General features: G+C 37.7%; 1 protein-coding gene across 6 annotated transcripts in view, besides 1 other annotated feature; it reads left to right on the top strand.

Moving 5' to 3' along the window:
- Nucleotides 1–16,339, top strand: part of MECOM (MDS1 and EVI1 complex locus) — a 580,206-nt gene that overhangs the window by 148,000 nt on the left and 415,867 nt on the right. The gene's annotated exons all lie outside the window — the stretch shown is intronic.
- Nucleotides 305–474: an enhancer, noted in NCBI's record as "experimental_66618 CRE fragment used in MPRA reporter constructs". NCBI's record gives its function as "activates a minimal promoter by MPRAs in K562 erythroleukemia cells, with activity observed for the non-introgressed 3:169233112 variant allele {active_cell/tissue: K562}" and the evidence as "EXISTENCE:reporter gene assay evidence [ECO:0000049][PMID:34662402]".

The following is a 16,339-nucleotide window of genomic DNA, read 5'->3' as shown; positions in this document are numbered from 1 at the left end:
TATTTAGGTGTCTTCAAATTTTAATCTTTTGAGCTTAAATTGTTAGGCCCATATATACAAAGGACTTCATCTGAAAATGATGCCTACTTTGAATGCAGATGATGATGCCTCCTGTGTAACTCATTCTCTTCTGGAATCTCAGCTTCGATAGGGCCCAGGAGGTAGTATGGTATGGTGAAAAAAAATTCTCATGTTTTAAAGTCAGACAAACCAAGGTTCAGATCCTAACTCCATTACCTGCTAAATAGATTAGCTTTAATTATCTCCCCAGTAAAATGGTGATAATAATATTTACTTTATATGTCTGTACTGAATATTTACGTTGTACCAATAAATGATGACTGCTATTTGCCTAGGCTGCTGGCCCCACAGGAGTTGGCTAGCTCCAAGTTGCTCAGAAACATGGGCAGACACAATGGAGTGAGTGAGTTGGGATTGTCATAGGAGTATAAAATAATATTGTTCCTTAGGATCTGGCCTATGGTACAATCCCATACCAGATCCCTCTTTTTTCCCCTCATGTGCTCTCTACCTGCAAGCAGGACCACAGGAGAGCTGCTGCTGTGCTGTGGCGAAATGAAAGGTGAGGCTGGATCTGTTGGGTGGGAGCTCCGCTTGGAGCTCCCTACTGTCATTCTCAGAAGGCAACTGCTCTCTCAGTTGTTGGATGTGGGTGGAACTGCTGAGGACAGTCTTGATCTGCTGCTTCTTCTTTTAATGCAGAATTATCCAGTACTGTGTCTACCGGGATTCTAAAAAGTTTTTGATTGTTGACCAGTAAGGCAGAAAATTATCTTGCTTATTTCTATTTACTTTCTGAGTTGAATTGTATATTGTTGGTAAGTTGATTTAAAACTATACTGGCTCTCAGATATTATAAAGGGATTGTTTTAAAGCGTGACACATAGGAGAACCCAAGACAATATTTGGACCCTTGAACCCATTCAGGGGTTATTTACTCATTCCGTGAACATTCATCGGGCATCTGCTATGTGGCTGGTATTTAAGGTGCTGAGGAAAGGAGAATGAGGACAGCAACTGTCCTATCGCATGCAAGAGACATTTTTACAATCAAATCTAGCACTGTTTAAAATTGAAAATTATCTTGCTTTAGAACCAGATGCCTGAATGAAAGGAAAGGTTTTGGCATTCAAGGCTTCAGTAGTCAGTGTGGTCACAGTTGATCCTCCATTCACCTTGATTCCTTTTTAGTGAGTGCTGAGGATTTCTGCTTAATTATACATCCTCAAAACCTCTTCTTTCACATGCTTCCAACTCCTTATAGACCAAAAACCTTTTAGTCGCCGACTCCCTCTGTCCCCCAACCATTCACCACTGAACAAATAAGGCAGAATGAGTGTGGAAAAACAAGTTATTTTGTAAAACGATGTCTCTCTCTCTCTTTTTTTTTTGACTCTGTGCTTAAGAACTGTAAAAATGTTGCTTGTGTTAGTGTGTCTTTTCCTACTTAGAAAAGATCTCTTGCACTTGAATTAAACAGCTTGTTGTAAGCATATTAGGAATTCTGGAGTTCACTTAAGCACTGGACATTTTCACACTCAAAAATGTAAAGGTATGTGCTAGATTACCGACATGGTTTTCTTATGACCATCTCAACTCCTTTCCCCCTAAAATTAGATTTCTTTTTGGTTTGGGGTAGTAAAGTATGTGCACACCCTTGTAGAACAATTGTGAAATATTAGGTCTGTATTTCTGGATGCACTAGCCACTGATGTAATCCAATTCTGATGGGAGAGTAAGTTGTGCCTATGACTGGCATTACAAATGCAGAGAAAGTAAAATGATCTCCTGAAAAAAAGAGCAGGCAGTTATTTTTCAGTGGTGGGAAGAGGTTGCAGGTGTGCCTGGTGTTTTTAAAGCTCTCAATTATTGATCTTGTCCTAAGACTTACAAATAGAACCATTAATGTGTCAGTGTGACCCAGATAACAGATGATTATTGTCCATCTTTAAATTGTACTTAGTACTAAAATATATATGTAATGCATGCAAAAAGGCCAGCTTTATCACACCTCCTCAAGGTTTTAAAGGAAAGAATTCATTTTTTTCATTTATTTTTCTCTCTGCCTTTCTCCCTCCTCCTCTACCTCTACCCGCTGCATTTATTTCCTCTGCTAATTGATAGAAATTCCGGACTGAGCATTCCAGCCACTGGCTGGCAGACACAAAAAGGACACAACTTACAGTTCTGCAATGGAAACATCTTAAAGCACAACTTTTTAAACTATTAGTAACTATTGCCTTCTGAACTATGCAGCTCATCACAGTGAGTGAAGCAAGTTAAAGGACTATAACACCCAGGGATTTTAGTTCAATTTCACTCTAACCTCAATTTTATTACCGTAAGTCCAGTTTGTCATCAGAGAGCTCCACATCACACTTGATGGGCAGATTCATCTGCCTTCACTGTGTGCATGTGGTTGATGCATGAACAGCAAGGCAGTAATACATCTATTTAAACCAAGCCTTGGAATCTGTCCCAAATGACATAATCTGCCATAAGCTGGGAAATCTGGTCTAGACCACAGAATGTTATGGGGTGCACACCTGTTCAGAGAATCATCATCAAAAGGTAGTTAACAGCATTTCATTGTCATCCCGGGGAAACAAAATAAGTCACATTTGGCAGGAGTTGGACCCGGGCCTAGAGCTACTTGACATTTTTATATAACAAATTAGAATAGTTGATAGAATTGTCACAAAGGATCTGTTTTTAAGGTAAGATTGAAGCACTAATTTTTGTACAGAGCTTCTGTCTGTGCCCAGCCATGATTAGGAGGGATTAGGTGGAGAAACTAAAGTTGATATAGCAACCCTGGTTTCTAGTAAGTCAGACTCCTGGTGATGAAAGTGTTGAGGATGGAGATGGCCCTGCAGGAAGAAGTGGGAAGGGGGAGCTGGGATGCTGTGGAGATGGCCCTGCAGGAAGAAGTGGGAAGGGGGAGCTGGGATGCTGTGGAGAAAGATAGACAAGACTTCGTGATTTCACCAAGTTTATTCATTCATTGATTCATTAATTGATTCTTTCATCAGATATTATAAGTGCCTACTATGTTCCAGGTTCTGTGGCAGGCACTTTGGACAAAACAGTTAACAAGATGTAGTTGGTCACTATGGGGAAGTAGCTAGGGCTGAGAAAGGACCCTCTGAAGTAAATATTGGGCATGAGGAGAACGGTGTTTCTTCTATCCAAGATGGGAGGACTGGGAGAAGGACCCTGGAGGAGATTTGTTCTTACGCTTACTGCATTTGAGTTAACATTGTGCTATAGATGCCTCTCACAGAGATGAGGAAGAAAGAGATGTGAGGAGATAGGGCTAAGTCTGAACAATTCAGAGTTGTCCACTGGTGGCAAGAAATCAAAAATCTGGGAACAGAGGAAATTTCTTGGGAGCGTTAGTAAGTAGGAGGCCTGGAAGTAAGTCTTGGCCTTGGCCTCAGGGTATGGTAGGGTGGTTGGGGGATGAGGGAGGAGCTAGAGACTGAAGGAGATAAATTTCAAAAAGTGTTAATTCACCTGGAACTCAGTTGCACAAGCTGTGCATTTAGGGAGATGGCCTGTCGAACAGATTGCAACTAACTGGACCCAGATAAGAAAATGACCTGGACCTAGCACAATACAAGCCTCAATACTGTGGAAGAAACAAATGAGGCCCAAGCAGTTAAATAAATTATCTACTGAGTGCTTTTGTGTGCCCTATGGGAATTTCAAGACTTAGAGGAGTGTGTCCAGAAAAGAACATTTAAAGCAATTTACATGTTGGCAGACAGGAACTTATAAGATGAAAAGAATCTAAGTTATTTAGTTGGGAGAGAAGGCTGATGGGGGAAATTATAGAAATTGTTAAACAGATGTCTAGTAAATAGATGTCAGCTTCTGTAAGAATACTTTAAAAAAAATTTTTTTTTGTGCTTTTTTTTTTTAAGACAGAGTCTAACTCTGTTGCCCAGACTGGAGTGCAGTGGCACGATCTCGGCTCACTACAACCTCCGCCTCCTGGGTTCAAGCAATTCTAGTGCCTCAGCCTCCCAAGTTGAGTAGCTGGGACTACAAGCGCCCACCATCACACCCAGCTAATTTTCGTATTTTTAAAGAAGAGACGGGGTTTTGCCATGTTGGCCGGGCTGGTCTTGAACTCCCGGCCTCAAGTGATCTGCCCACCTCGGCCTCCCAAAGTGCTGGGACTACAGGCATGAGCCACTGCACCTGGCCTAAAAATACTTTTTAAAAAAGGTTTAATTTCCCAAGTATGGGAAGAATCCTAGATTAGGGGGAGAGAATTTTGGTTTTAGCCTGAACTTTCCACCACTGTGCTGTAAGATTCAGTTAGGTTAAATACTTCGACCTCATTGAGCCACTGTCTTCCCATTTGTAAAATATAGAGATTTGGCAGATGATCACTAAGATCATAACCTAAAGAAAAGAATGGGTTGTATGTGATAGTAATTACTGTTTTAACTTACTGAAATTCAAAGAAACCTGAGTCTGATTAATTTGAATGCAAGTCTGATGTGATACCTACAAATTCAGCATATAAAATGAATCTAAAGAGTGCTTTGCTTAAGAAAAATCTGCTTAGCTGCTCATTGACCCTAATATAAAAACATTTGAAAATAATAAGATTTAAAAAGTAAGGCCAAGTATAGTAATTCAAACTTGCTTGTCATCTTTAAAACAGGTCCCTATTTTAACAGGGGTTGGGTGGTGGTGGTTGCTGTTTTTTAACGCTTTGAATTAGTTTCTTGATTCAGTGGCAAAGGGTGATGATTGTTCTTCCTATTGAAAGAGGTTTTTACCAACACCTTTGCCATGTCTGCCCTCAGGGGATTTAAGATAAGTAGCACCAAGTTGGCCCTCTAAATTTGCCCCCCTCTCCCTGCCACAGCATTTAGCAGATTGGATGAAAATGTGTCCGCAGAGATTAGATATTCCAGTGACCACACTGCATTTTTCTGCTCTGAAAGCTATCTCTCGGATCAGCCCTCTACCTCTGGTTTATCGGGAGGAGAGTATAGACAGATAACATCCTTGCGATGTGACCCTGACCTTTGTCAACCTTTGTTAATGCTTCATCTGAAGTCAGGCCTAATGTTTGTAAACAGGATATAATTAAGGCTGGGAACTGACAGGGTCTGACATTAAGACAATGCAGAGTTGGCAGGGAATGGCCTGTGAGATGTCAGCTCGCATTGTGTTCTAAGTGCCTTCATAATAATTAGTGTCCTCTGTCTGAAGGAAGTTCACTCAACTTGGATTAATCTGTCACAGCATGGAGGCCATCCTTGGGAGGGCAAGTGTTTCCTCTGATAAACCTTAGAACAAGTATGAGAAAAAAGCAAAGAGGCTCAAAAGAAAACTGTGAAAGTCAAGACTGCTGGTGACAGGTGCTGCCTGAAAATTAGAAACAGGAAATAAGGGGGGTGGGGGGACACTCCCTCCCTGCCCCCGACCCTTCACATCCCAATCACAGAGTGAATGCAGGAGTTTACAGTGATGAGAATCGATTACAGTGATCCCAGCCCTCCTGATCTGGATGCCGTGAGTAGACACAGGACTGTAAGTGTTCAGAAAAGCTTGTGCATATACACATTGCTTGGCTTTTGCCTTAACTGGCACGGTGCACGTGTCTGAGATTGCCCCCACCCTATAAGAGGATTTTGGTTTAACATGTAATTGATCCAAAGAGACTGAATCTGCTTTCTGTTATCAGAGGACATTTGTTTGAGCATCTGCTGGTAGTTGGTGTGGTACAAAGTGAGTCAAGAGATGCGTAAGCCTGATGCTGACCGGCTGCCTTTGAGTCGGCTTGGACTCTTCCTGAATCGCAAAGCAGGCAGAGAAAGCAGAGACTCAAACGGATACTCTACACCAGTGTTCATAGCAGCACGATTCACAATGGTCGAAAGGTGCAAACAACCTAAATGCCCATTGGCAGATGAGCAGATAAACAAAGTGTGGTGTAAACATACAAAAGGAATATTATTCAGTCTTAACAAGGACAGAAATTCTGACACATGATACAACATGGGTGAACCTTAGAACATTATGCTAAGGGATATAAGCCAGAGACAAAAGAACAAATAATGCATGGTTCCACTTTCATGAGAGGCCTAGAATAGGCAAATTCACAGAGACAGAAAGTAGAACAGTGGTTACCAGGGGCAGGAGGAAATGGGGGAGGAGGCAGGAGGAAATGCAGAGTTATTGGGTACAGAGTTTCAGTTTGGGATCATTAAAAAGCCCTGGAGATGAGTAATGGTGATGGTCGTACAACAGTGTGAAGGTACTTAATGTCACTGAACTATACACTTAAAAATGGTTAAAATGGTAAATTTTATCTTATATATGTTTTACCACGATCAAAAAATTTTTTGAAGTGGTGATAGAAAAATAGATTTTTCAAGCTAGATGAGCCTTCAGAGCTTCTGAACATCAATCATCACATCAGGGAAGTGACAGGATTTATCCAGGGTCACACCAGGAGCTGCTGGTGGAGCCTGCTCCTGACAAATGGGCCATTCACTTTTAACACCAAGTTCTAGTCTTAGACAGGGAACCTTTTCTACTGAGCTTTTGGGGAAGATGAAGCCCTGAGGCACATTAATAGCAGGTCTCTTCGGCATTTATCTTAGTGTAGAGTTTAGTCATTGTTCCTTGAATTTGTTTGTATTTAGCAACTTTAAAGGCCTATATTTGCATAAGACTCTTTAGGTCTCTTTCAACTCCAGAACTTGATATTTCATGATTGTATATAGGCAGGATGACTATAGCGTCACACTTATTTTGTAACTAAGAATAAGACGAATATGTTTAACTAAGGCATTGAATTTTTCCACTGGGTTAAGTAATTGTTTTAAAAACCTCTTGTCAGTGAGAAATAAAAGAAGCCATGTAATAGTTCCCAGTAGAATGATCAGAAAGGAATGTTACATCAAAGAGGCAACAACTTTGAATACGTACCTTAGGAAAGTATCTATTTTAGGAAAAAAATAATTTTATTTTATTATTTTTCTAGTTGCATAGCCTTCTTGCATCAGGAGATGGTGCTGCTCATATGAGAATAGTTTCTTATCATTACCACACTTATTTCACTGTCACCAAACTTATTTACAGGATTGACAGGCTGGGTAAGAAGAGTCTCACAAAAAATGTGTTTGTGCATGTGTGTGTGTGTGAGTGTGTATGTGTGTTTACTCTTCTTTTGTATTAGATATTAACATCCTGAGGCAAATTTTCAGAAGCTTAAACTTTAGAAAATAACTCTTTTGTCTTTTTTTTTTTGCACTCCCACCTTTCTATAGAAGCAAATTTCCTATCAAATTCCTTTTTGTGTCATTCACCAGTTTACTGTGTCCCACCCTATTCCCATGCCAGATTTTACAGCGGTTAAAACAATTAATGGCACATGCTCAGTGATGAAGTGTAGGGATAGGAGAAAATAGAGAATACTCAACAAAATAATTGTGGGATTTTCTTCTCCAGGTTCTGCCATGTTTGAAAGTATACAGAGGGGTGAATGTGGAGGGACCCTTCTTGAATTACCATCCATTTATCGCCAGCCCCAAATGTTAGGTACAACTATGACCTATTGAGCACATAGTATATTCAAAATGTTATTTCACTTAGTTTTTGAAATAGTCTCTTAAAAGAGTTCTTTTCTCCATGGATTGAACTGTGATTTAAGAGGCTAAACAAGTATCTCATGGTTACGTATTAAGAAATGGCAAGTTGGGGCCGGGCGCGGTGGCTCATGCCTGTGATCCCAGCACTTTGGGAGGCCGAGGCGGGCAGATCGCAAGGTCAGGAGATCGAGACCATCCTGGCTAACACGGTGAAACCCCGTCTCTATCAAAAATACAAAAAATTAGCCGGGCGTGGTGGCGGTGCCTGTGGTCCCAGCTACTCGGGAGGCTGAGGCAGGAGAATGGCGTGAACCCGGGAGGCGGAGCTTGCAGTGAGCCGAGATCGCGCCACTGCACTCCAGCCTGGGCGAAAGAGCGAGACTCCATCTCAAAAAAAAAAAAAAAAAAAAAAAAAAAAAGCAAGTGGGGATTTAAACCAAAATTGGTCTTTGCTCTTTCCACCATTGTAGGCCTTCTATTCTTGGATATAAATGAAGCCAGGGGAAAAAGAAAACCCTATAAAACCCTCTTTTTCTTCCCTACCCCTTCTTTCTGAAAGCAGACACCTTAATTTGGAAAAGTCAGTTCAAGACTCAATTAATAAATTCCCTACTAAGAGGGACGGCTGTATGCCTTTAAGTAGATTGGCATGGAGGAATGAAGGCATGAAGGAGGTACCAGCCTCCATCAGCCTGACGTCACCAGTGTTTTCAAAGAAAAGGACTAGCAAATTAAGCTAACAATTGGTTAATTTTTCATTACCCAAATTAAATTACCCATTTACCTACATGCGTTTATAGGCTGTATCTTAAAGACTTGTCTGAGGAGAAAGAGAAGTTTGCTTTAGTGGCTGGCAAGAGGACAGATCTTTTCAGAGGCACCACTGGAGCCAAAGTGATAAACCATTTTGTACAGGAAGACTAGTGCTAACACCCAATGTATAGGGTAGATAGTTGACCAACAGTCTATATCACTGGCATTGTGATTGAGACACATTTTTAATATTATCCAGACAATTCAGGGATATGTGTTTCTTATGATTAGTGAAGAGGGAAGAAGTTTCCTCCTTGATGAAGGACGAGACTGAAATATAGCCTGAGATTCAGTTAAGTGGAAGAACATGTGAATTTTAAAAACAAATGGCTTTCCAACCATCATGACTTAGAAAAGAGGGAGAAGAAAAGAGGCATGGGAGGCAGATACACACACTGTTCAAAGGCAGAGAGATGAGCCAAATTGGGACCAAGTAACTCTACTTAACCTTGGGAGCCTTCTTAACTAAATGTAGTATTATCCTTCCAGGGACTACCTCCTCACCCTGGGGTAAGTATAGCTGCATTCTGTGGCTGTTAGATGAAAGAGGAAAAGACAGAGAAGCATCTTACAGAATTAATTTTGGTGCCCTAAATATTGGCATGTAAATATATAACCCCTGGAAGAAAAAAACAAAACAAAACAAAGCAGAACATTAAGGCTTTTTAAAGATAGGTAAATCATTTTCTTTTCAAATGAAATTCAGTTTGACTGCATGAAATATGAACAGTAATTAAATGCACAGTCTGTGGGCCTTCCATACTTTAAAGCGCTTTCTTTAAAAAAAAAAGAGTACTCACCTCAGACAGGCCAATTACCCAAGAATGATGAAGTCAAGAGGAAAGTCGCTAAATTTCTTTACTTGAGTGATCACAACCCCAGCCCGTGATTAGTCCCCACGGCACCAGCGGGGATGTGGCGGGGACACTCACATTGGAAGACTTCAAATAGTCATTTCCTTGGTTAAAATAAAATCTGACTGCACTAAATAGACAGTTTTTAATCTCAATTGGACATCTGAAGATTTCTCAAGCTGTTGTTGGCTTCAGCAGAAACAAATTTTTCTGCTTTGTTGATTAAACCAGTGGTCTCCACCATTGCTTATCGGCCTGCAACGAGCTGTTCTTTTTAATTAAAAGTGAGCCACCACGAGAGAGCAATTAACAGCTAGTAATTACTGTGCTCTTCAGAACGGCAACATTTTGCCTTTCATTCCAATTATATAATGGACAAGTGGGTTTTTGATCTTCAAATTAGTGAGCTCTTGTCCTCCTTGTTTGGAGGCAGAATTGGCAGGTTAATGATGGCCTGTGGGGGCACTCTTTCCTCTGACTGATGTGAGGCAAGAACGCCTTAAAGGAGGCAGTGAGAGCCTTTCAAGACCCGCAGTTCCACCTTTATGATAAAGACAGAGAAAGAGTCTTTATTTTCAGAGGGTTTTGATGAGGAGGAAAGATAGGCTTACATGTGGCCTCCAAACAGTGCCATGTGCTTTTCCTTCTTCTTATCCTCCAGCAAAAGGTGACCAAGTTTTAAAACATGGAAAACTGAAAGTTTCAGATGTGCAAGATGGCTAAGTTCTGGAGATCCAGTGGACAGACTGATGACTATAGTTAGCAATATTGTATTGCATACTTGAAATTTTCTTAAGAATGTAGATCTTAAATGTTCTCACCATGTGTGTGCACGTATGCATACACACAAACACACACTCACACAAGATTACTATGTTAGGTGATTATATATGTCAACTAGCTTGATTGTGGTAATCATTTCACAATATATATGTATATCAAGTTATGTACCTCAAATATATACAGTTTCTATTTGCAAATGTACACCAATAAAGCTGAAATAAACCCAAGGAAAACTGGAATTAGATTATGTGATGTTTTGGTATGCCTTTGGTAAGGGCATAAAATACCACATGTTGGCAAAAAAAAAAAAATTCCTGCTCTAAGATTAAGAAAGGATTTTGACTTTATTTAAATTTATTGTAACTACTTTGAGAATTACAGGGTATGATATACTTTGGATAAAATGGAATCTTATCTTAATTGATAGTAGTATATGAGGAGTAGGCCTTGCACTTATTACCAGATCTAGTATAAATACTGAGATTATAAATAGAGGAAGTTGGACATTTTTGTTTTAGACATGTTTGTTTTCTGTCTCCAATCTCTGCTATTCATGCAACAACATAGATGGAGCTCTGCTATATTAGAGAACAGTCATGTGTCAGTTGCTCTCCATGCCCCTACCTTTTGGTGGTGACGGATGGTAGCCTCCTTTTTGGGCCAGTAATTAGCTGCAGGTACAAAAATGCAGATGCAATCAGCCAGCTATGCCTATGCTAAGCGTAAGCATATATTTTATTTATATGCTTATGTTGAGAATGTGATAGCTACAGCAATTATTTTGGCCACGAATCACTTTGCGGGGGATTTCTTTAAACAATATAAATTTGTAACATGAACCCCCTGGTTTCTGGATAGGCAAAAATCACATCCCACCCTGAAGAGGCAGAATGACAAGCTTCTGTCTTGTCATTCACTTGTCATTGCTATCCTTTGATAGCATCCCACAAGTCTCATTTAGGCAGCCAGGCTGGTTGGTGGAAGATACAATTTTGTTGGGTATGGAAACAAATGATACAGTATGAAAGGAATTTGAGTTTTTGAGTGTGGAATCTGGTTTATGAGCTCTTTTCAATAATGTTACATGAAAATAAAGTGGAATAGAATTATAGTTAGTTGCACATAATAACCATTACGTAAACTTTCAAGATATTAAAAAGACTTTTTAAAATGAGACTTAAAGCAATTAAATAATTGAGTAGGAAAAATGAGTACCTCATATATGACTGAATTCTATCAGAGAACATCTTCATTGAGCACTTTACTGGTATAAGTCTTGGTTGCTGGATTTTAGCATCCCCATCGAGACAGAGCTCCAGCTGAAGTGATGTAGCCTAATAAGTTTGAACCACCTCCCACATTCCCACCCCCACCAAATGGCAAGTCTGGGCAGCTTCTCCATTAGGTTGTGCAGCCATTTAATTTAAACACACACACACACACACACACACACACACACACACACACACTTCTCTTTTTCTTTTTTTTTTGAGAGCAGAAGTCACCTTTTCCCTGAGACATCTTGAACAAAGTGTGCCTTTTGATCTATTTTCAGAGATAGTTTTCAGTTCAAGTCTATTAGTAACTTGTGGGATTCAGTTTTTGGATGGCCAGACACCCAAAAGTAGAGTAGAGATTCAACATATAGCTTTAAACAGAGTTTTACATATTGAAACAATTGATACTATTACAAGAACGATATTCACTAGCATGCCTCATTTAGCACCATGGTCTATGTTACAGTGCTACTAGATGATGCTTTGAAATCACAACTTATTTTGCCAATACAAATACCATATACTTTGCCCATGAACTAAAGTTCTGGAGCCAGATGGAAAAAATATGCTTTGATATGTCTCCTTCTTCTTAACTGCTGAAGGTTTTAAAGAAATAACTACATAGCTTTTTTTGCTTTCACTATTGGGTTGTACAGTGTTTGTAAAGGGTGGGCTATTGAGTTTGAGATGTACATCCATTAAGAAGCAAATTTTGATTGATATAAGTTAAATTTCTTGAAGTGTAATGTAGCAGGTGGAGGACACAGAAGTCTAAGGGATAAAATGAAGGCCGCTTTTTCTTTGTAAACCTAAAAGAAAGATTTCTAAACTTTTTCAAAATGCAAGGCTTTTCTGGTTCAAATTATTGCATTAAGTGGGGGTAAATGTCTTTTCAATCACTGTAATATTCAGAATCTTTATTTAACATATATGTCCTGTGATTTTCCAAATTCTAGAGATAAATTTAGTTTTTCTATTGATTATGATTTATGCAGTTCTAGTTGTCATAGAGTCCAATGGTTTCACCAACGTTTTCTTTGTCTAAGCCTCTGGGAATTGGAGGGATAAAGCTCTATACTGACATCTCTCTTTAGTGTTTCTGAGATTATATATGGTATGCACAGAAAAAAATAAGGGCTTTAGATAATAGTTTTAATCGTTTTTTGGTTATGTGAACTTGATCAAATTACTTAACATCTGTAAGTCCCAGTTCACTCTCTCTAAAATGGGATATTGACACTGACTCTGCAAAGCTGTTGTGAGAATTTACTATCGTATGATACATGCCAATGAATTGCCTGGTGTGTGGTAAGTACTTAAATAATGGTTGCCATTATTGTTGTTAGTGTTCTCAATTCATTTAATTTACAGTGGCTTTTTGCTTTCTTTTATATGGCATCTGAATTCAGGAAAGAAGTATTTGGGAAAGTTAGTCAACAGTAGGCATTGATAACCTAATATATGAAGCATATGGTTTAATATGTTTATATCTTTATAACAATCTGAAAATATTGCTGATGGAAATGAGTGGCATTTTTCTAAAAGTTCTATGACATACTTATAACTATCCAAAATTAAATTATTCTTCATTTCTTCCTGAGGACAAATTACTCCTATAATGATGTTGAACTTTAAAGCCATTTTTACCATTGGAAAACCAAGCTCTATATTTAAAAAGTGTTGTATGATCATCTTTATCTGTGGCAGAGTGTAAAGAACACTGAATTAGAAGTCATGAGATTACCACTTTCTTGTTCATTGAGCAACTCTGGGTAATTACTTAACATTTATGCATTTGATGTGTAAAAGGGTGTTTTTAGGGGTCTCTGGTTGCAGTCAACAGACACTGGCTCTGGCTAACTTAGGCAAAAGAAAATTTATTAGAATAGGTTTGGGAGCACACAGAATTAAAGGAAAGCAGGAAAATCAGACTTGGAAATGGGACAGTAGTCAAGGCATCTCCAAGGAGTTGGAGATCAGGATAGGTCTTGTAGCAGGAAGAATCTGATATGGATTCTGCCACTGAAATGAAAACCTCTAAATATTTTTTGTATCTTTATTTCTCTGTGCAAGCATCAAGTTCACAGAAAGGACTCCAATGAGTGGTCTAATTTGGCAAGGCTGCCAGCTTGTAAGAGAGATGGGTTTTTGAATCCAGTTTCTTGTCTATGTTCTGTGAGTAACAGGTGAATATTCAAAAGGAAATCAGAGCACTGTAGGAAAAGGAAGTAGATCCTGGCCTGCGAGAAAACAATAACTACAATGAGGATCATAAATAATGTTGCTTTTCCCACAATTTGTGAATATTACATTATGTGACATATGTGGTGATGCTAAATAAAGTCTAATGCACTGTGTAGCATTATTGTTATCAGTTATTTCTTGTGGATTTCAGCCAGTATAATTATTTGATACAGACCTTGAACCAGTAAGTGGCTGACCCAGCAATCATGTTGTGTAGCTACTTCTGCACAGTGTTTTATCCTTAAACATAATTATAAATTAAAAAAATAAAAGCTTGAGTATAGCTTTGGAAGCCAACATTTCTAATTAAAATCTTGAATTCATTCTCTACTTGAGGATGAGAAAAACTCTAGCTAACATGAATGAGAGCCAAAAGTGAATGAATTCTTTATTAGATTTTAAGCAAAGGAAGTTGGTAAATGACTAGCCTGGTCATTAAAAATCTTGTCAACGGCATAGGAAAGAATGTTTTATGTTGTTAATTGCAGACTTGCTTGTTGAGCTAGATGCAATAATAAGAATTTGTAGAAATGGCATGTAAACATTTTTTATTAGCAATATTCAAATGAGTCTTTCAGAGCTGGGTTAAAAACGTGGCCTCCAATAAGAGGTTTTTCTGGTTTTCTTGTTTGTTTTTAATTGATAAAGATAAAAATATTAAGTAGAAGTAGAACATCATTATATCTTGAATGTAAAATGCCTTTCAGTAATTTTATTAGAAAATGCTTTTCACTTTAAAAAAAAATTCTGATGTCTGTTTTCTAGTCTTTAGCTCTAGGGATGTAATTTCTACATATGAGATATAGGAAATGGGATGTCTGTTAGTGTTCATTACATTATACAGAGTCATGCAGAATGGAATCTGTATGTTAATGTACTTAACTCAACCCAGGCATGTATATTCAAATTCTAAGCAAACCTTATAGTTACCCTGTTATAGTTGGAAATCTGAGAATAATATTTCTAAATAAGTGTTTTTATTAAATCTGGAGGGGCCTGATTGTATAGGTACCTTAATGCAGGCGTTAACAGAGAGATAAGTAAGTTGTATTCCTGAATTCTACGGACAAATGCATTGAGTTTATAAAAATCTAGACAATGATCAAATTGAACTTAATTTCTATTTAGATTAAGAATAAATTGATTTTTCTTAAAACTTTTCTTTATTAAAACTTTTCCTCTCTCCTTTGAGACTTTATTGTTTTAACAACTGTGTCAATGTATCAGTGGAAGAGATTAAGTTTATATAATCAGATTTAGCCCTGTTTTTAAAATAAGCAACATGTTACATAATCTAATATTATACATGTAGGTGAATAATTAAACCTAAAATATCCAATCAATTAAAACTACTTTTGTATTAGAAGAATTACTTAGGATTTTGAAATGCTTCTTTAAATTTATATAATTGCTTAGTAATTAAATCCTTATAAGATGGGTTCATGTGGAAAATGTTAAAATTTTAAAACATTTGTTTTTGCCTGATAAAGCAATAGAAAATGATATGTGTTTTTTTGTATAAACTATTAAAAAGTTTGTTTAGAAAAGAAAATGTCAACTATAATCATGTCACTCAGAAACAAGTACCATTATTATTTTGCAGTATTCAAAATTCTAATGTTAAATTTGGTTTTTCTCCATATATCAATTTTTAAAATATGGTTTTGTCTCTTTTTGACATACACAGGTTTCATCTATGTATTTATTCATAGCTGAATAATCAATTAATGATTGAAACTTTTAAAAAGATGGTTATAAAAAAGCCATCAGACTTATGGAAGATACAGGAGTATGTACCTATTTGATTGCCTAATCCACTGCTCTCATGGAAGGCCTGTCCAAATGCCATCAGTGACTTTTATTGTGTGGGGCTTCATCCAGTTTTATTTAACTTTCAGATATATCATCTAACAGTATCCATTGATAGACTTTTATGATCTAATAAATAGGCTTTTTCTAATATTTTTATTCAGTTATTTTAAACCTTCTTCCTTTATCCTACTGTTAAATTATTAAACATTATTTAAAAACTATAAAATGTAACTGATTGAATATAGTGCTGTCTGGGAAATTTCACACTGTTGCCATAAGTGACTATAAAGCAAGATCTGTAGTTTTAACAGGATGTTTTTATCTCTTCTGGAGATAGATAGTGAGGGCTAGAGAGCCTTAGAAAATGTTACCAAGCTGTGTATTTTTATTCTTGCTTTTCCTCTATTGGTTACCCTTAATATACATTATAATTTTTAATTTTCCTAAAAATGTCTGCAGTTAGTAGTCTTAACCTCCTCCCTAGGAAGACAAGGACTTTAATACATTTTAACATCCCTTCAATCTCTTGCATGATCTTGCCATCAACTCCTATTTTTGACATTATTATGTTCTAGCTTCTTTTAAAGCATATAATGCTTTAGATATATCAGCATGTTTTGTTGACTTATTTGGTCCCTGTTTTTCCTTGCATCCCATTCTTTTTTTTTCCCCCTGGTCGAAGTAAATTGTTTAGTATTTCTTTCCAAGATAGCTCCTGAGAAGTTAGCTTTTTTAGGTCTTATAAGTCTGGAAATATCTTCTTCTTGTCTGCTCTTTTGAATGATGGTTTGACAACTGGATACAGAATTCTGGTTTAGCTATTTTGCCTTGGAACTTTGAAAATACTTGTCCATTGTTTTTTAGCAGCTCTGGTTATTGAGGAGAACAGTTCTTCTCTTATTCTGACTATACT

Source organism: Homo sapiens, chromosome 3, assembly GCF_000001405.40.
Source record: "Homo sapiens chromosome 3, GRCh38.p14 Primary Assembly".
NCBI lineage: Eukaryota > Metazoa > Chordata > Mammalia > Primates > Hominidae > Homo > Homo sapiens.
The sequence above is the reverse complement of the archived record's forward strand: the minus strand, read 5'-3'. Positions and strand labels throughout refer to the sequence as shown.